General features: G+C 42.9%; 1 long non-coding RNA gene and 1 pseudogene across 1 annotated transcript, besides 1 other annotated feature; both read left to right on the forward strand.

The window, feature by feature from the left end:
• On the forward strand, positions 827-932 carry RNU6-869P (RNA, U6 small nuclear 869, pseudogene; annotated as a pseudogene).
• On the forward strand, positions 2,501-18,424 carry LOC105375750 (uncharacterized). The gene is made up of 3 exons (NR_188067.1): positions 2,501-2,697; positions 16,964-17,054; positions 18,265-18,424. It is a non-coding gene; the product is annotated as an uncharacterized LOC105375750 (long non-coding RNA).
• Positions 18,677-19,493: an enhancer, noted in NCBI's record as "OCT4-NANOG hESC enhancer chr8:127534858-127535674 (GRCh37/hg19 assembly coordinates)". NCBI's record gives its function as "activates a minimal SCP1, AML or CMV promoter by ChIP-STARR-seq in naive and primed H9 embryonic stem cells {active_cell/tissue: H9 hESC(naive and primed)}" and the evidence as "EXISTENCE:reporter gene assay evidence [ECO:0000049][PMID:30033119]".

The following is a 21,479-nucleotide window of genomic DNA, read 5'->3' on the forward strand; positions in this document are numbered from 1 at the left end:
GGACTAAAGAAAAAATGAAGCTTTTAAAGAATTAAAGGTAGGTTCATTCAGAAGCATTACTGAGGACCACAGACTGAGGCCAATAGCCCAGGAGCAGCCCTTTAGAGAGGTCCTATCAGACTGCCCCAACACAGTATTTAAGCCAATGCCCGTATACAGGTGGTGGAGGTTTAATATGGGCAAAATCACATCAAACTTGCCAAGAAGCTACATTAAAGCAGAATTACATCAAGATTAACCAGAGGTACATCAGAGTACCTCTGGTTAAAGACTACAGAGGCATAATCACTAATTCCATCAGACGTTGTTTTATAAAGTGTAGGAAAAGGCAAGGGCTAGGGCCATTTATCTTTTAAGGAATTTAGTGACTCAGGCAAGAGACGGGGTCATGTGCTCTACCCTCTTTTGTCTTCAAAGAATCCTCCCAGAGAGCTGCACTTTGTCACAGCATCAGGGGCTTTGTGAAATTATGCTAGCAAGCAGAAGTGAGCAAATACGGCTTTTTGCATTTGCTGCTTTGTCTCACACTTCACAGCCCTCAAAGGAGCCAATGCTGCAGACGCCTTGATTTTGGACCTCCAGCCTCCAGAACTGTGAGAAAATACATTTCTGTTGTTTAAGCCACTCAGTTAATAGTCCACTGTTTTGGCAGCCCTAACAAACCAATAAAATGAGTTACCTGGTGATCACATGAAACGTCAGCTGTGATGACAAAAAGGTGCCCTTAAGAACACAAAACAACTGGGGTCCACCATGTGGAAGCAGAAGCCTGCAAGGAGTGAAACTGCAGGAAAGGAAGAAATGCCCAGTAGAAGAGAGGCCCCAGGTGCTCGCTCTGGCAGTACATATACTAAAATTGGAACGATACAGAGAAAATTAGCATGGCCCCTGTGCAAGGATGACACACAAATTTGTGAAGCGTTCCCTATTTTTAAAAGTTAAAAAAAATTTTTTTTAAAAGACAGGAGGTCCCAGGAAGCCCTGCTGCCTCTCTGCCCACCCTCTCCAGGCCAACCCTGCTACCAGGAAGAAATTCACAGGGCCAAATTACTCAGTCATGTGTATTGAGGCCAGAAATGCATTATTTAATTTTTTGCAGCAGATGTACCTTTTTAATACTGTTTTGTTTCAGGCTAAAATTACAATATTAAAATTTAATATTCAAACATTAGCATGAGTTTGCATTTCTTGAATGTCCACCCACCTTTTTCCTCCAGCATATGTGGAATGGCAACAGGGAAGGGGTGGGAAGAGGACAAGGCTGTGGCTGCTGGTCTTAGCTCCGCATCTGAGTGGCTCTGTGGCCTTGATCACATTGCTCCACTCCTCCAGGGTTTGGTTCCCTCCTCTCTCAAATGATGGAAATAACCTGGGTGTTCTAGAAGGCTCCTGCACCTCAAAGTATTCCCAAGTCTGTGTATCTCTGGAGACTGGAGGGAGCCAAGAAGAGATGGACAACAGATGCCTGAGCAGAACTGATATGTATCTGCACTTTTGCCGTCATCAGATGTTGGAGGGGTCTTGGAGAGAGCCATGAACAAGAGCATCTCCCAGTGTTGATAGGGTCCCTCCAGACTTTTAGGGAGAAAAGTAAAGAAAAATTCCTAGTGGTTGTTCCTATATCTCTTGCAAAGGATAAAAGGTAAACATTATATGTATACTTTTTTTTTTTTTGAGACTGACTCTTGCTCTGTTGCCCAGGCTGGAGTGTAGTGGTGGGATCTTGTCTCACTGCAACCTCTGCCTCCCAGGTTCCAGCAGTTCTCGTGCCTCAGTCTCCTGAGTAGCTGAGATTACAGGTGTGCGCCACCACACGCAGCTAATTTTTGTATTTTTAGTAGAGACAGGGTTTCACCATGTTGGCCAGGCCGGTGTCGAACTCCTGACTTCAAGTGATCTGCCTGCCTCAGCCTCCCAAAGTGCTGGGATTACAGGCTTGAGCCACTGTGCCCAGCCTCATTACATGTATTCTAAAAATTAAAGATTTTCTGACTGCAAAGTCCTGGATTATTATACTGCAAAGTCCTGGATTCTGTGACTGTATGTGTCTGACAGTATGTGTGTGTATGTGTGTATGCCTATGTCACACACTCATGTGCCTCGGTTTCCCTGGTATCCCAAGAAAATTTTTAGTTTTTCTTTGGGGTAATTACACCTTGAAAAAGCAGGTATTTCAGGACTCCTTCCTTTTCTGTACTCTGAAGTCCAGCTCTTAATTTCTACTATTGGTGAGAGTGCAAGTCGATGTCACCTGACTTAGTACATGGGCGTGCTCTCTAGTCTCTCAGGTTGAAAGTCTCTCTGCTGTGACTCATATCCTCACTCTATGCAGGAGGAATTTTTTTTTTTTTACTAGACCTTTACATGAAATTAGATAGAGTTAACTTATCTCTCTCCTGGCACTTCTTGTGCAGGTCCGCCAGTCAAATCCAGCAGACTGCAAAAATACTAGACTTTCTCCACTGAAGAGTCAGGTAATGCCAGAAGAGTATTATGGCACAGCAATACTCCTCAGAGCAAACGTTGGCTTTTCAGCTAACTTAGAAGTTCCCTGGAAAATGCTTCTTAAGCCTTAGAGAAGAGAGACAGTCTTTTTCATATAACATAGCCAAACCAAGGGCGTGACACTCCGTCACCGTCACCATACTCTGCTGATTAGAAGTGATTCACAGTTTCTGCCCACAATGAACAGAAGAGGTAAGTCACTGCGGGTCACCTTTAGGTGTGTCCACCACACCATTCTTCCCAAAATTTTGTAAGACTTCTTGCACATGCCAGGCATGGTAGCTCACCCCTGCAATCTCAGCACTTTGGGAGGCCAAGGCAGGCAGATTGCTTGAGGTCAGGAGTTTGAGACCAGCCTGGCCAACATGGTGAAACCTCATCTCCACTAAAAATATAAAAATTAGGCCTAGTGGTACACACCTGTAATCCCAGCTACTCGGGAGGCTGACGCAAGAGAATTGCTTGTACCCAGGAGGCAGAGGTTGCAGTGAGCCGAGATCGCATGACTGCACTCCAGCCTGGGCAACAGAGCAAGACTCTGTCTCAAAAAATATATAAGGAAGCTTAGTAGGGCATGGTGGCACACACCTGCAGTCCCAGCTACCCAGGAGGCTGAGGCAGGAGGATTGCTTGAGTCCGGGAGTTCAAAGCTGCAGTGGGCTATGATTGTGCAGCTGTACTCCAGCTTGGGTGACAGAGCAAGATCCTGTCTCCAAAATAATAATAATAATTAATAATAATAATAATAATTGAAAGAATAAAAAAAGATGGGGATAGAGATGAAACAAAATTGGCCATGAGCTGATAATTTTTGAAGCTTTGTATTTAGTTATGCAGTAGGTCTCTGTATTATTCGGCCTACTTTTAAATACATTTAATTTTTTGCATAATAAAAAAATAACCGACAAGAAACAGTGATCAAGTTAGTAATAATCCTTACCATATTTCAGCAATTCTACATGCCAGACTCTATGCTAAGTGCCTCATTTACATCATCTCATTTGATTCTCACAACAGCCATATCAGAAAGTATTAATAGTGTATTTATAAATAAAAAACCTGCTTCTCTGGTAGGTTAAATGACTTGCCCAAGTATTTCAAGAACCAGATGCTGTGTTCTCACTTATGAGTGAGAGCTAAATGTCAAGTATATATGGACACAAAGAAGGGATCTGCAGATACCAGGGCCTACTGGAGGGTGGGGGGTGCATGGAGGGTGAGGATCAAAAAACTACCTATTGGGTACTCTACTTAGTACTTGGGAGATGAAATAATCTGTACCTCAAACCCTTCTGACATGAAATTTATCTATATAATAAACCTGCACATGTACCCCTGAACCTAAAATAAAAGTTAAAAAAAAAAACAATCTGCCTACAAACTCAAAACAAACAAACAAAAAACAGATGCTGAATCCAAGTCTCCTTTGATTTCAAAGCCCATATTCTTTTTTGTTTGTTTGTTTGTTTTGTTTTTGAGATGGAGTCTCACTTTGTTGCCCAGGGTGGAGTACAGTGGCACAATCTCGGCTCACTGCAACCTCCGCCTCCTGGGTTCAAGTGATTCTCCTGCCTCAGCCTGCCAAGTAGCTGGGATTACAGGCATGCACCACCATGCCTGGCTAATTTTTGTATTTTTAGTAGAGACGAGGTTTCACCATGTTGGCCAGGCTGGTCTCAAACTCCTGACGTCAGGTGATCTGCCCACCTCGGCCTCCCAAAGTGCTGGGATTACAGGCATGAGCCACCACACCCGGCCTCAAAACCCATATTCTTAATTACTATTTCAAGTTAAGTCAGCAAGTATAGGTTAAGTGCCTATAATGAAGCACTGGGAAGGTGACAACAATTAGAAGATGTGACGTTTGGTCTCAAGGAGATCAAGGCCGAGAAAATATTTATTCATTGCAATTCTGGCCCTGGATCAACCACTTACAAATGAGGAGAGGCAAATTATCTCAACACACCAGAACTTAGGCCCTTTACCTGTTTGATGAGATCGTAGAATCCATCCTGCGAGTCACAGAGGACAGTAGGGAAGATCAAATGAAGTCATGTAAATAAAAGCCACGAGGAACAGTAAAGGGCTGTATAAGTAAAAAGGACAAAATGAAGCAACAGTAATGGCACTATTGTGGTTGAAGATAAGAAGCCTTTAGCCTACTTAGATTTTTAGTGTTCTAAACCCATCTGTCCTCAGCCCTGTGGTTTTTCCTTCATGAGAGCTCCTCAACAAATTCATGTATAGGGAGGTTGGCCCTAAGAACACCCAGGACAGTGACATTTCAGAGGCATTGTAGAGAAGCTCAGTTATCACATTGCAGTGTCTTCCTCTCCCGGACTGTGCTTAGCACACAGGAGAGCCACATATGGGGACTGGGAATTATTTCTGATGTAGCGATTGGGAAATCGTGACAATGTATACTAATGAGGTGACAAGAAAGACGGTGTCAGATGCACATTAATCTTTAGCCTGATGTCCTTCATGATGTCCAACCTCCAGTTTCATCTCCTGCCACACTCATCCCCCATACTTCCACTCTTCACACTGGCCTTACTCAAAATGCAGATTCCAGGACTCAGGCTATCTCACTGCCTTCTTACTTACAATTCTTATACCAGAACACCCTTCCTCCTCCCCTCATCTGAATCTTACCTGGTTTTTGAAATTTAAGTCAGGGCCTTCTTAGGAAGATTTCCCTGATTCAGATCCAAGTTGAATTATGATAACCCTCCTTTGGCTCCCATAAAATCTTATAACTTCCTAACTGTGTTTTATGAATAGTTGTCTAGTTTAGCACTATGTCAGGAGCTATTGACAGCAGGGCTGGGCACAGTGACTCACAGCTGTAATCCTAGCCCTTTGAGAGGCCAAGGTGGGAGGACTGTTTGAGGACACCTCAAGCCCATCCAGCCTAGGCAACAGAATGAGATCTTGTCTGTACAAAAAAACAAAAGATTAATTGGGCGTGGTGACGTGCACCTGTAGTCCCAACTACTTGAGAGGCTGAGGCAGGAGGATTGCTTGACCCCAGGAGATCGAGGCTGCAGTGATCCATGATGGTGTCACTGCACTCCAGTCTGAGCAACAGAGCAAGACCCCACCCCCCAAAAAAGCTATTGAGGGTAGCAGTTTACTTTCATTGCTCTACCTCGAGTGCCTACAGAAGAGCAGAGCACATTTAGGTACTTTGTGTGATTACTTATTGAATAAAAGGATGGTATATCACAGAAAATAATTAACCTATTTCTCCTTTTAATGGTGATGGTTCTTTATCACTAAGTGTTCTTTGCTGAGTACTACATTGGTTTTGAGTGTGCAAACATGGAAACGGCTGCCTCCAGTCTACACTGTTCATTGTAATTAAGAGGAGAGAGATTTGGAGGACCGAAAAATCAGAAATGGTGGAAGAGGAGTCCTTAAGGGCATGGCCATATTATTTTTTGTAAGCCTGGCCGCTATCATAGATCAACTTTGGCCGGGCACGGTGGCTCACGCCTGTAATCCCAGCACTTTGGGAGGCCGAGGCGGGCGATCACCTGAGGTCGGGAGTTTGAGACCAGCCTGACCAACATGGAGAAACCCCGTCTCAACTAAAAATACAAAAATTAGCCGGGTATGGTGGCGCACGCCTGTAATCCCAGCTACTCAGGATGCTGAGGCAGGAGAATAGCTTGAACCCAGGAGGCGGAGGTTGCAGTGAGCCGAGATCGCGCTATTGCATTCTAGCCTGGGCAACAAGAGCGAAACTCTGTCTCAAAATAAAATAAAATAAAATGACAACATAGATCAACTTTGACATTTCATTGGCTTAATGAAATGAAAGTTTATTTCTCACTTATATGAAGTTCAATTCTCCTTTTTTTTTTTTTCACCCGCGTAAGCCCCCAAAAGATGATTCTGACAGCAAGGGGTAGAGGTGAGGATTGCTGTTTGGATTTGATTGGCTCCCACAGTCATACTGGGAGCCAGGTTAATAGAGGCTTCAGTACCAAGAGTCCCTGAGCTTCAATATCCAACCAGCAGGGGGAGAAAGAGAGAGAGGGGATTGTCCATGGAAGTTTTCATGGGCCAGGCCATGTCACTTCTACTCATGTTCCATTGAGTAAACTCAGCCCTACGGTTACATCTAACTGCAAAGGCATCTGGGAAATGTAGTCTAGCTACGTGCCCAAGAGCAAGAGAAAACCACCTTTGCGGATCACATAATAATTTCTACTGCAAAGGTTGAGAGGTGGGGAATGTCAAAAATGAAGAAAAGCAAAGGTAAGATAGGAGGGAAATAGGGGAAGAAAGGCTAAGGGAGGAAGGCAGAAGAGAGGAGGCAAAACAGCACGGAGGAATCTGAAGGAGTCTGTGGTGAGTAGTGTTATACAGCCTCTACTCCAGTGTGCTGAAAACAACCTTCAGTGTACTACATTGCTTAGTAATGATTGTGAGTAGATATAGTTGGGAAGGGACTAGCACTGAAGAATAAGGACAAAGCTAACATGTGGGTGATAGAATGAGCTATCAACACAATTGCATGCTTCTTCCAGTATGATTTCGTTTGTCGAAACATGACTGACAACTCCTTTTGGGTAACTCCCTCTAGAAGCAATTCCCAGCCTTCCAAGAAAATCTCCGACTTTTTAAAAAAGGAAAAGTTACTAAATTTAGTCCCTAGTAATGGCATGGCCAAGATTAAGGCCCAGTCTGTAAATCCCATTGTCTCTCTACTCTACTAGTGGAGTTAAATGTGAGAGAAGAAAATGTGAACCCTGAGCCACTCAGGAATTGAGAAGCTTTCATTTCTCTCATGTCTATTATGCACTTGCTTGCTTTCACTAAAACCTCCTAACCTCTCAGTAAGGCGTCATTATCTCTACAGATGAAGAGGCTGCAATTACCAAGGCCACGTCGCTGGTAAGTGGCAGTACTAGGAATAAGAATTCAGACTGCTAATTGTATCAACAACATAATAAAATTTAACATTTATTTATTTAGCATTTCCTATGTGCCAAACAGAATACCAAGAACTTTACCCGCATTATTGAATGTTAATCCTCAAGACAAACCTATGAGAAGTACTAGTAGTATCCCCATTTTCCAGATGAGAAAACTAAAATAGAACGGACATTGTTTATCCAGGTGTTCTTAGCTTCTGACAGTGGGGCTAGTATTTGTACACAGGTGTTCTGACTGTGAGTCCGTTGGACTAGCCTCCTCTCTTCCCACTGTCCTGCTCAAGCTCTGTCAATTATACCCCACTGCTTCCTGAAAACATATTTGCTATATGCAACCCCCACCCCCCGCCCCAAGAAGAGAATATATTTTGGAGTCTTTATGTCTCAGAAGATCACTTTAAAGTCCCTTTCATATGAGTGACCAACTATCCCGGTTTGACTGGACCTGTTCCAGTTTGGCTCTTAGAGCCTTTCGTCCTGGGAAACTCTTCAGTCCTGAGCCCACTGGGACTGTTGGTCAACCTATTTCCCACTCTGAAATCTGTGAGTTTATACACTTTTTGCAAGACCCTCTGTTCTACCCTGGAAAGAGAAGGATCAATTGTGCACACCCTCAGAATTTCACCTCTTCTCTCAATTAGTCAGACTTAAGTTATCTACCCTGTTTTTCCCCTTTTAACCTACTCCTATAGCTGCCTAAGAAACATGTGAAAAATTTGACACCCTTGGCAGAAATGAGGGTCTATAATATACTTCATGGGTTATGCAGTTTTATTGTCCATGAAGACTTTAATGAGGGATCAGTCTTCATTTTTAGTAAGTCATCTAAGCAGTGCATTTGAGACTGGGTACCACTAGGAATCAGCAAGTCCCCCTGTGGCCTGTGCTGTTTCTGAACCAAGAGAACTAAGAGAAGCCATGACCAGAAGCTGAGATAAGAAGCACCTAGTGAGATCCAGGACAACTTTTCCAAAGACTACATATCTTTAAACACTGTTTGAGGCATAATCCTAGATTGTTGATTCAAATGTGGCACAGGAGTAAGTTAGCTTTAGAGATGTCATAGTCTGAAATAAGAGCATGTTAGCAGGCCATCTGTAGAGGAGAAGTTTGCCTGGGTGGGATCTGAAATATGAACAAAAATTCACCATTACCATTAACCAGCTGCCTCACTTTCCTTTAATTTCATGTTAGGGTTTTGTTTCTTTAGCTTGCCACCCATAACAAAGTATGTCATCCTGGGATCTTTTTTTTTTTGAGATGGAATCTAGCTCTGTCACCCAGGCTGGAGTGCAGTGGCGCAATCTCCGTCTCGCATGTTCAAGCGATTTTCCTGTGTCAGCCTCCTGAGTAGCTGGGATTACAGGAACCTACCACCACACCCGGCTAATTTTTGTATTTTTTTAGTAGAGACAGTGTTTCACTATGTTGGCAAGGCTGGTCTCAAACTCCTGACCTCATGATCCACCCACTTCGGCCTCCCAAAGTGCTGGGATTACAAATGCGAGCCACCGCACCCGGCCCATTCCGGGGTCTTAATCAGCAATAACAAAGTACCACAAATAGGGTGTTTTGGGTGGCTTAATCAACACATTTTTTTCTCACAGTTCTGGATACTAGAAATACCAGGATCAGGGTACCAGTATGGTTAGGTTCTAGTGAGAGCGTTCTTGCTGGCTTGCTGATGGTGGCCTTCTTGCTGTGTGCTCACATAATGGTGACAGAGATAGAGCTCTGGTAACTCTTTAAGGCCCCTAATCCCATCATGGGGCCCCACTCTCATGACCTCATCCAAATCTAGTTATTTCCCATAGGTCCCACCTCCAAACACCATCACACTGGAGGCCTAAAATTCAACATATGAGTTGGGATAGGGGTTAGCACAAATATTCAACCCATGACACCCTGTGTCAGGAGCTCCAGAGTCTTCTTTACTCCAATCAGAAGCAAGCCCCTACCTGTGCAGAATCATCCCAGACGCAATGACAGATAATGCTCTTATTCAAGGGGGAAAGCAGTTTTAATAAACTTTATATCTTGAGATAATTTTAAATTAAATATTAAATTTACAAAACAATTTTAAAGATTAACTTAACAAAACAATTGTAAAGATAATGGAGCACTCTTATACTCCTCACCCAATATCCTTTATTGTTGATATCTTCCGTTACCATGGCGCATTTGTCAAATCTAAGAAGCCAACAGTGGTACATTATTTTTAATGGAACTTTAGATTTTCTTTGGATTTTACCATTTTTTTCCACAAATGTCCTTTTTCTGTTCCAAGAACCAATCCAGGATAACACATTGTACCTACTTGTCACATCTCTTGAGTCTCCTCTGGTCTATATTGAGATGGACTTTATAATCTCAGTCTTTACTTGTTTCTGATGACCTTTACAGTTTTGAAGAATATGAATTCAGTGTTTTGTTGAATGTCCCTCAATTTGGGTTTGTCTGGTGAAAAACGGCTTTTATTTAGCAATAGATCAGACTAGATTTTGGTTCTAATCTGACCAGATGATTCATAGCATAAATAGGATCCTGCCTCATTTCTGTGAATAAGCACCTGCTTTATATATAAATGTCTATAATTGACTATTGTCTCTCTATCCTTAGTCTCTCAATAATGGAGAGTAGCATTAGAGCCATAAAAATCTAGATTCAAATCTTGACTTCATATATATAACTTTGATCTAGGACAAATCATTTAACTTCTATGAGACTTGGTTTATTTTTTAACATGAGAATAATAAAATGTTGAGTTTATGGTACTGTTGTGAAGATTAAATCAGCTATGCATGTAGCACTTAGGATATTATATAGCACATGTGAATGTTTAATGAGTATCAGTTTCCTTCCCCTAAATTTGTTCTTTTTAGTCACCCCAGAGTCTGCCTCTGAAGATCATCTGTTGCCATTTTTTCATAACAAGAACGTATGAAAAACGCAGACTGGAGTTACTGCCCAGCTCATAATATCCTCAGTATCCTAGTCTATGCAATTCATTCCTTTCTTACAGTAACTGTATTCGTCCATTTTGTGTTGCTATAAAGAAATACCAGAGACTTGGTAGTTTATAAAGAAAAGAGGTTTAATTGGTTCACGGTTCTGCAGGCTTTACGGAAAGCATGGCTCCAGCATCTGCTGGGCTTCTAGGGAGGCCTCAGGAAGCTTTCAGTCATGGCAAAAGGCAAAGGGGGAGTAGGGGTGTCACATAGAGGGACCAAGGGAGGAGGAGCCAGCCTCCTTTAAACAACCAGATCTCATGTGAACTAACAGAGTGAGAATTCACTCTTCACCAAGGGGATGGCACTAAGCCATTCATGAGGGGCCTGCCATTCATGAGGGGCCTACCCTCCATGATACAAATCCCTCCCACGAGGCCCCACCTCCAATACTGGGCATCACTTTTCAGCATGAGATTTGGAGGGGACAAATATCCAAACCATATCAGTAACAAACTGTGTCTCCCTGGTTATAGGAGGAACATATGACCTAAGTGGACCAATCATAGGGCCTCACTTCTTCAGTTATATGGATTCATCCAAATCCAGCCAATTAGAATCCTTCCCTGTAACTTTTTTCCTCACTGGAGTTGACAAAAGAAAGTTCTCGGCCGGGTGCAGTGGCTCACGCCTGTAATTCCAGCACTTTGGGGGGCCGAGGCAGGCAGATCACCTGATGTCAGGAGTTCAAGGCCAGCCTGGGCAACATGGTGTAACCCTGTCTCTACTAAATATGCAAAAATTAGCTGGGCATGGTGGTGGGCGCCTGTAATTCCAGCTACTCAGGAGGCTGAGGCAGGAGAATTGCTTGAACCCAGGAGACGGAGGTTGCAGTGAGCCGAGATCGCCCCACTGCACTCCAGCCTAGGAGACAGAGCAAGGCTCTGTCTCAAAAAAAAGAGAAAAATTCTCTTTCCTTTCTGGTCATGCAGTTGTAAAGGTGAGGGGCTTGTAGTAGTGCTTCCTGCCATTTGGAGAGAGCCAGACTGAGAGCAGGACACCAGCAAGCATGAAGAAGGAGAGCTGAGAGATGGAGACAGCATTCAATGGAATTCTGCCTAGTTCTTAGGTCCAGTGATTCCTGAGGTCAGTCTACCTCTGGCCTTTCCATAGATTGATGAGTTGAGCAAATCAGTTGGCCTTTTGCCTTAAGCTATTTTGGGTTGTGTTTTTATAAAGTACAATTAAAAGGATCTCAATAGATCACTTTTCTCGATTTTGCTGCTTGCTGCCACCTACCACCTATTCTAGGTGCCCCGCTCCACAACCTGTTATCTTTTACTTGCTTCTTCTGTGGCATGGTTGGCACCAAAGGGGCCTCTTTCTTTGACCCTTTTTCCAACACTGGCTGTAAGTTAACTGTATAAATTACTCCATCCGACTGATTATTAAAAGTGCAAGAATCAAAAGGTGTAGAAGTTAGTCTGTGAAAACATGCTGAAAAGAAATGAAGCCACACATAATATCAATTATGTAGTTGTTCAGAACGCAGACTCTGGAGTCCATTAGATCTGCATTCATATCCTGCCTCTGTCACTCACGAGTTGTATGACTCCAGGCACCTACCACTCTGAACCTCAGTGCTCTCATTTGATAAATGAGGATAGAAATCCCTTTTTCATATAGTTTTTGTGTAGATTCAACAAGATAACATGTTTGATGCCAAGCAGAGCCCCCACTATATTGCTGATCCTTAACTTCATAATAGCATTTTTTTTTTTTTGAGACGGAGTCTCACTCTGTCGCCTAGGCTGGAGTGCAGTGGCGCCATCTCAGCTCACTGCAAGCTCTGCCTCCTGGGTTCACGCCATTCTCCTGCCTCAGCCTCCAGAGTAGCTGGGACTACAGGTGCCCACCACCACACCCGGCTAATTTTTTTTTTTTTTTTTGGATTTTTAGTAGAGACAGGGTTTCACCGTGTTAGCCAGGGTGGTCTTGATCTCCTGACCTCATGATCCACCCGCCTTAGCCTCCCAAAGTGCTGGGGTTACAGGCGTGAGCCACCGTGCCCAGCCCATAATAGCAGTTATTAATAATGATGATTAAAATTTTCTTAAGACACCCAAACCCACCAATCATTCTTAGCCTCATGAAAGGTGCGATAGTCATGCTAATTTTGTGTGTATCCCAATATGCTTTAGTGTGAAACACACAGCACCACTTGTGAAGTGTCTTCTTGCCAGAACATTTTGAAACAAGCTGAATCTTTATCAAATCCAGCCACGAGAGCTCACTTACAAGAAATACAGCATGTGATAAACAAGTTAATTAAACTACAAGAAAGCAAAGAGATATATCCAGAATGTGAGACATACTAAAGGACAAATGATTTGATTTCAACAATAAATCAATAGCAGGGAGAAAACCAAAAGAGAGGTAGTGAGAGATGGAGAGGAAGGGAGAAATAGAGAGAAAGAGAGAGACTGTGAGAGAGACAGAGAAAGACAGAATAAATTGTGGTTATCCTATTATCTCACCATGTTGTATTCAACTGAGGGGTTCTTGAAAGAGAACTGGATTCAGAGCCAGATAATCTGGATTTATATTTTCTTCAGCTACTGTCACTAAACAAATAAACTTGGGGGACTCATCAGGGAGTGATAATTGAAGAGTTGATTTGATGTTTAAATGGGACCTTGTATACAAAAATGTGTAAAAAAAGTGTTGTATGAATTGTCTCATTTAAATACCTATGCAGGGAGCTATTGCAGTGCACACCGTTTCTCTCCCTTTGCTCATACTGTCCCCATGCACGTCAAACCTATCTTCCCCATCCATTAATTCATTCAGCCAATGTGCTTTTACTTAAAAGCACATGTGACTGTCCCACATGTGTGCTTGGGATGGAATCATTTATAACGACAGTAAGAAAAGTCCCTTATGAAGAGTGTTTACAATGCAGAGAAAGTGTCCCAGCCGCATAACAAAATAAGGGCAGAGCCAACAAAATGCAGCATAGAGTTTGGGGCAGGCAGGCACAGATTGAAAACCCAGATCTTCCACTCCTGGCTGAGTAAGTCAAATCCACTCTCTACCCTTCATTTTCTTGCTCTCTTCTCTGGGAGACTGACCTGTAGAAAGAACTTCAGGCTCTAGTACCCTCTAGCTCCACACTAGGTTTGGCTCCCAGAAGACAGTGGAGGTAGAGAGGAGAAGTGGGAAGTACAGCCTCCTCCCTGAGTTCTGATTTAGGACTGGCTTCATCCTACAACCTGACTCCTCTCAAGGTGGCCTTCTGAACACAATTCTCTCCTTCCCTTCTCTCTTTAGTTCTTCGTTTCTAACTAGTTCTGGACTATGGCACCATCCCCTGTAGCTTCCTAAGGCTGCCCACACATTTTTAATAATCCTTTGTTAAATTGATTGTGAAGTAGCCTCCTCTGTGTGAGCCATTCAATTCCTATAATCCACAGGTTAATCTTGGGCAAGTCTCTTAAACTTTTTCAGCCTATGTTTACTGTCTGTCAAATGGAATTAAGTGTAATTCCTCTCTCATGGTCCTAGGCAACTTCAGTTAAGAAGGGTCCTCTGGAATATGAAAAAGACTACCTGGGAGAAGGACCAGGTCAGGGTTTAAATCTGATTTTTGTTCTTATAAACTCAGTTACCTTGAGCATTTTGCAACAAATCTCTTTGCAATTCAATTCCTTGTGGGTAAAGGGATTATAACAAATGTTTAATAGGATTTAGAGTTTTGGCTTAGACCCTAAAGATTGGAACATAGCTAAGTAGCTGTGCATTCTAAAGAGAGGAGGTAGACCACTCTGGATGAGAACTGCCAGCCCATGACCAAATCTAATACTTTCAACAGCTTGTTTATGGGAAGATTAGCAGCTTCCTTAGAGGGAAAAAAATTCTTTCTAAGAGGCTTGTAGTATTGCAGATGGTTTGCTTTCATTCACTCCCAAGCAAAGTGAGGTAGTGTGACGCAGTATGAGATAATCCTGGAGAGAGGATTTATGGCAAGATGGTAGACTGGCATCACACTCCCAGGCTGGATGCTTGCTGAAACACAGAGATGCAGAAGCCAGTCCCAAGCTACTCCAGAGGGTGGAACATCATGGAGTTCTTAGGAGATCTTAAAATATATTCTCTTGACATTGAAAGCATAGTTTTTCTTCCTAGTGTTCACCTGGAGAAGACTGAGGTTGGAGCTTGGCAAAGCTACCCACAATGGCCGAGCAAGTATGTGTGCATTTTGCCAGAGCAGGCAAATGCCACAAAAGGAAGCCAGCTTAATTTATCTCTGCTCAAGGGGACTTGTGGTACCACCAGGGGCAGGAGTTGAGAGACGTCACAGGTTTCACCTAGCCCATGGCCAAGTCAGGGTCTCTGAAGAACCCCCACGAAAAGTGCCAACTGGAAGAGCCAACATTTGGATCTTACCATTTGGAAGGCTTTCAACAGTCAAGAGAGCATCACAGCCAGCATCTGCCTCCATCTCTCATCCCTCCACAGCTATTATATTGGAAAATCCATCAGCAGTTAGGTGAGTAGGGTAGGAAGTACAGCGAAGAGCGAAAGAGCAGATCCAGCGTCTTTACGCGTTTCCTGGCACCTGATCCTCCAGACAAGCCCCAGCTGAGCAGAGGGGAGAAGGCTTAACCTGAATGTGAGATTAAATTTGATTTAGATTGAACTGGACTTTTAAAATACTTGCAAGTGGGCTGGGTGCAGTGGCTCATGCCTGTAATCCCAGCACTTTATGAGGCCAAGGCGGGTGGATTACCTGAGGTCAAGAGTTCGAGAGAAGTCTGGCCAATATGGTGAAATCCTGTCTCTACTAAAAATACAAAAATTAGCCGGGAGTGGTGGTGCACACCTGTAATCCCAGCTACTCAGGAGGCTAAGGCAGGAGAATCACTTGAGTCCAGGAGATGCAGGCTGCAGTGAGCCGAGATTGTGCCACTGCACTCCAGCCTAGCTGACAGAGCGAGACTCTATCTCAAAAAAAAAAAAAAAGAAAAAGAAAAAAGAAAAAAAAAACAAACTTGCAAGTGACTGGGAAGCTACAGAATATTCTCAATGTGTCATCAGGAAAGGCGAAGGCAAATGCAACTATATACATTTTGAAGGCAATAGGCAGAAAAGCAAAGCTATTGCCTGATGGTATCACCCAGGTGCAACCTATTTTCAAGAAATTTACTTTGCAGAGTATTTGTGAAGAATAACTAAAATAACATAATGCAATACCTAGAATAGTACATCTTAGGATAGTAATATGTCCTCCTCATCATCATTACTAAAGATTTCACTCTATACATTGAACGTGCAAGTTAGGAACACATGAAGTGTTCACGTTCCTACAGAGTCAGTGTAGAAGGGTGGTTGCCCTAGTGGGCTTCAAGGCCAGTAATCTGTTTTTAGGGGACCTCAGGCCCCAGTGTGAACAAAAGGCCAAGAGCAAAACACAAAAAGCCCGTAGAATCATTCATGATGATTGTTGAACCAAAGTCTGATTGAAACCCACATCATCTGTTGGTTGCTGGACTATCAGGGTCACACAATATTTTTCAAATCCTTAAAGCAGGCCAGGTGCAGTGGCTCACGCCTGTAATCCCAGCATGTTGGAAGGCCGAGACGGGTAGATCACCTGAGGTCAGTCGTTCCAGACCAGCCTGGCCAACATGCCGAAACACCATCTCTACTAAAAATACAAAAATTAGCTGGGCATCGTGGTGCACACCTGTAATCCCAGCTGCTCAGGAAGCTGAGGCACAAGAATCACTTGAACCTGGGAGACAGAGGTTGCAGTGAGCAGAAATCGTGCCACTGCACTCCAGCCTGGGCGACAGAGTGAGACTCAGTCTCAAAAAAAAAATAAAAGAAAAGAAAGGAAAGGAAAGGAGAAAAGAAAAGAAAAAAGGAAAGAAGAGAAGAGAAAAGAGAAAAAAGGTGCTGGACGTAAAATTTTCACTATATTTGCTGTGCGTTTTCCTGCAGTATAAAGTGATGTTTACTAATGCTGAGCATTTCAGGTAAGTTTGCTTTGATCCCATCTTGGATTCATGACTGTGATTCACATTGATAAGCATCATTATAGTGTACACTATAGACCAGATACCTTTGTCATCTGATGTATTTTATAGGTACGATTCTTTTTTTTTTTTTTTTGAGACAGAGTCTCACTCTGTTGCCCAGGCTGGAGTGCAGTGGCGTGATCTTGGCTCACTGCAACCTCCATCTCCTGGGTTCTTGTGCCTGAGCCTCCCTGAGTAGCTGGGATTACAGGCGCCTGCCACCATGCCAGGCTTATTTTTTGTATTTTCAGTAGAGACGGGGTTTCACCATGTTGGTCCCGCTGATCTCGAACTCCTGACCTTGAGTGATCCATCTATCTCGGCCTCCCAAAGTGCTGGGATTACAGGAGTGAGCCACTGCACCCAACCTAAACATTAAAATATATATATGTATATTTGGCTAACCTCTTAAAGGAAAGTTGCTATATACCTTGTATTCTATGACTCCTCATTCCAGTATCCTTTCTCCTCCCCCATCATCCAGGTCACATAGGAGAGTGATCAGCATATCTTGGGAGCACAGTAGACACAGGTTAAGGAGATCCCCTGCCTGCAGTGTCCCAATCAAATCATAGGTAGGTATCGAGTAGACAGCAAGTTATTTTTTGTTTTTATTTATTTATTTATTTTTGGTAGAGATGGAGTCTCCTACACTGCCCGAGCTGGTCTCAAACTCCTGGCCTCAAGCAATCCTCTCACCTCGCCTCCCAAAGTGCTGGGATTACAGGCATGAGCCACCATGTCCAGTAAGAGCTAGTTCTCAGAGCGAGAGGGAGTCAGACAATTGTTCTTTCTATTAAATGTTATCTTAACTGATCTTATCGCTAAACATATCAATTTTGGAGAAATAAGTGGCAGGAGATACGGAGACAAGAGTGAAGTTATGGCCCTCTAATGGTGAGAAGAAGGGAAGCAAAAAATTCTACTTTTTTTTTTTTTTTTTTTTTTGAGAGAGAGTCTCGCTCTGTCACCCAGGCTGGAGTACAATGGCGCGATCTCGACTCACTGCAAGCTCTGCCTCCTGAGTTCACGCCATTCTCCTGCCTCAGCCTCCCAAGTAGCTGGGACTACAGGTGCCCACCACCACACCTGGCTAATTTTTTGTACTTTTTAGTAGAGACGGGGTTTCACCGTGTTAGCCAGGATGGTCTTAATCTCCTGACCTTGTGATCCACCCGCCTCGGCCTCCCAAAGTGCTGGGATTACAGGCGTGAGCCACCGTGCCCGGCCTACATTTGTTCTTTTTTTTAAAATTTTTAAATACTTCAAACTTGCATAAAATTACAGACAGTAAGACAAACATCCACAGAGCACCCACTCCCCAGATTAAATAAATGCTAACAAACGCAACCTCACACATTTGCTTCACTTTCTCTGGTTGAGGCAGATCCAGAGACTTGAGGCCCACCAGACTTCCAGGGGCCCAGGATGATGTCCATTTGTCTTTGCTGTCTATGTCCACCTCTCTATGCCTGGAACATCGTTACCCACATTCTCCCCCAGTTCAGCAATCCATTCCCTTCTTCTCCAAAGGGAACCCAGTATGGTGAAAGACAACATCAAAGTTCGTTTTTGCTTCACTCAGAGCTGTTGAGGTTTTGTTTTTGTTTGTGTGTAAGAAAAATTCTGCTTTGAGCCTCAGAATTGAAATAGAAATTGGCCTGTAACTAGACTAAAATTGTGTGTACCCTGTCACATGAAGGCCTTAATAATAAAAGCTCTGTTCTTTGAAGCCCTGATATGTACTAACCCATATATTGTATTATTATGTATTTGTCTTCCCAGGAACACTGTGAGACTCTGGGGTGAGCTTGCATTTGCAGACAGGAACTGAAGGGCTGGAGAGGTTACACTCACCCAGGTGCAGTTGCCCAGCATGTGAAAGAGGAGACATTCTAAACCCTGCACTTAAAAAATAAATAAATAAATAAAGTTACAGACTGTCTTTTGTTTTGCAATATCTAGGTTAGTTCCCTGTAGGCCTTTTCTATGTTCCAGATAGCTGAGGTTGAGAGGTACATGACTTCCAAATTAGTGGGGGAAAGCGGGACTACTTTACTTAAATGGATGTTTTTTACAGCAAGGTCTTTAATTCCTAGATGTAATTTTTATTTTATTTTTTAATTTAGATATAGGAAGGGTATAGCAGACCTTCTTTACTATTAATACCACTCTTAGGTCAGTGACTTCAAAGCAGCACTTGACACTGATTTTGATTGCATGTGATTCCCTGGGGGAGGGCTCTCAGGAGGGAGGATACGCAGGAGGTAGAATGGAAAGGTGGCTAAGCTGGATGTGATCTCAGCTGCAGTCTAGCCCTAACCTGATTGCACAGGGAGCTCTGGAGCATGAAATACACCTACCACGTTTGTTTCCACTTTGAAACATGGGGGCTAGCCTCTGTAGATGGTGAGACCACCTTCCCACAGCAGCTGGGGAGTTTGTGCAGGAGCCAACTAAAGAAAATCTGGAGAGGGAACCTACACCCCAGCTCCACTGTCCTCAAATGTTTGGACGATTGACTGATGAGGGCTATCAGCAGCTATTTGCATTACTATAGAAAGACACAGACGAATAATTAAAAGGTTTGAATTGGCACCATAGAAAACTCATTATCATTTAGATAATTAGACACATCGAACCAGGAGATTGAGCATAGGGAGGTAGAAGGCTGGCCTTAAATGGTTAATTTCTTCTAGCACATGCAAAACCATTAAAGTGAGTGAGTTTGGTTGACGGCTGACTACCTTCAGAACCTTCTGCTGTTCTTGCTGATGATGTCTTCATTGAGGCCCCACTGCTAGCCTTGAGATTGCTGATTTCAAGGCACTTTCAAGACAAAAATAAAAATTCCATTTTCTTTCTGCAGGAGATGACTGTGTGCTCCCTTTGAGCTGGCCCAGGGGGAGCATTCAAAATACATTGCTGAAAGTAAATGGAATTTTACAGTTATGTAAATTGCAACTCACCCCTGAAAACTCCATTTTATCAAAACTCCTGGTTAATACTGTTTTTCATGCTCAGGTATTCTCCCCAATCACACAGGCAGGGAATGCAGGAGCCCAGGAGGAGACTATTTCAGAGCAAAGTCCCTTAAAGAGGCCTCGGGTACTAATGTCCTCAATGTCTGCCTTGCAACAAACAAAACACAGACCTTTAACCTGGCAGGCAGGTGTGGGGGCAGAACAGAGGCCACCCTACTTAGATTCAGAAGAATTACCTTGCCTCTTACTAGCTATGTGCCCATGAGCAAGCCATTTCCCCCCAACTCCCCAGAGTGTGAGTAGATCCTGTGAATATGGTAAGATGGTCATTCCCATGATTAGTTTATATTATGTAAGATTTGATTTAGGAATGAATTAATGGCATTCATAGTGACCTGGATGAGATTGGAGACTATTATTCTAAGTTAAGTAACTCAGGAATGGAAAACCAAACATCCTATGTTCTCACTCATAAGTGGGAGCTAAGCTATGAGGATGCAAAGGCATAAGAATGACACAATGGACTTTCAGGACTCAGGGGGAAAGGGTGGGAAGGGGGTGACGGATAAAAGACTACAAATAGGTTGCAGTATATAATGCTCAGGTGATGGGTGCACCAAACTCTCACAAATCACCACTAAAGAACTTACTCATGTAACCAAACACCACCTGTTTCCCAATAACCTATGGAAATAAAAAATTAAAAAAAAAAATCGGCCTGGTGGGGTGGCTCATGCCTGTAATTCCAGGACTTTGGGAGGCCAAGGCGGGTGGATCACCTGAGGATCAGGAGTTCGAGACCAGCCTGGCCAAGCTGGTGAAACCCCGTCTCTACTAAAAATACAAAAATTAGCTGGGCATGGTGGCTCACGCCTATAATCTCAGCTACTCAGGAGGCTGGGGCAGGAGAATCTCTTGAACCCAGGAGGCGGAGGATGCAGTGAGCTGAGACAGTACCACTGCACTCCAGCCTGGGCAACAAGAGCAAAACTCCATCTCAGAAAAAAAAAAAAAAAAAAAACAGAATTGATTATATCAGACTAGAGAGAGATTCTTCCTGCTCTCTTTGAAGAAATAAGCTGCCAGGTCATATTAGATACTAAGGGAGGCCTCTAGGAGCTTAGATTAACTGCCAGCCATTAGCAGCAGAAAAACAAGGGCCACAGTCTTACAACTGCAAGGAAGTGAATTCTGCCAACAACCTGATTGAATATGAAAGGAGACTCCTGGGTTCTAGAAGAGAACGCAATTCAACATAAATATTGGTTTAAACCTTGTAAGACCATGAGCAGAAAATCCAGTTACTCTGCATCCAGACTTTTGACCTACACAAAATGAGATAATAAGTGAGTGATGTTTTAATGGTTCAGGTTGTGATAATTTGTTATGTAGCTTTAGAAAACTACTATACAATTGGTTGTTCTGAAGAAGCATGTAGAGGACCTCCAAAATTCACTCTCCAGGAAAACAATGAGAACACTGTCAAAATCAGCTTTTCAATGGATTAAATCAATTACCATAAATGTTCAAAGAACTAAAAGAAACTATATGTAAAGAATTAAAGTATGAAAACAACGTGTCACCAAATAGAGATTATCAATAAAAAAACAGAAAATATTTTTAAAAGAACCAACTAAAAATTCTGGGAGTTGGAAAGTACAATAACTGGAATGAAAAATTAACTGGAAAGGCTCAACTGCAGAGCTGAGCAGATAGAAGAAAGAACCAGTGAACTTGAAGACAAGTCAATTGAGATTACTCATTGTATTACAAAAAACAAGAAGAATAAAGAATAAGTGAAAATAAACAGAGCTCAGAGACATCATTCTATGAGGCCTTCATTACCCTGATATCAAAAGACAAAGATGTCATAACAAAATAAAAAACCAGATCACTATCCCATGTGAATATAGATGAAAACTTTTCAGAAGGGTACTAATAAAATGAATACACTAACATATCAAAAGGATCATACACTATGAGCAAGTGTATATGCCAGGAATGCAAGGTTGGTTT

Source organism: Homo sapiens, chromosome 8, assembly GCF_000001405.40.
Source record: "Homo sapiens chromosome 8, GRCh38.p14 Primary Assembly".
Lineage (NCBI taxonomy): Eukaryota > Metazoa > Chordata > Mammalia > Primates > Hominidae > Homo > Homo sapiens.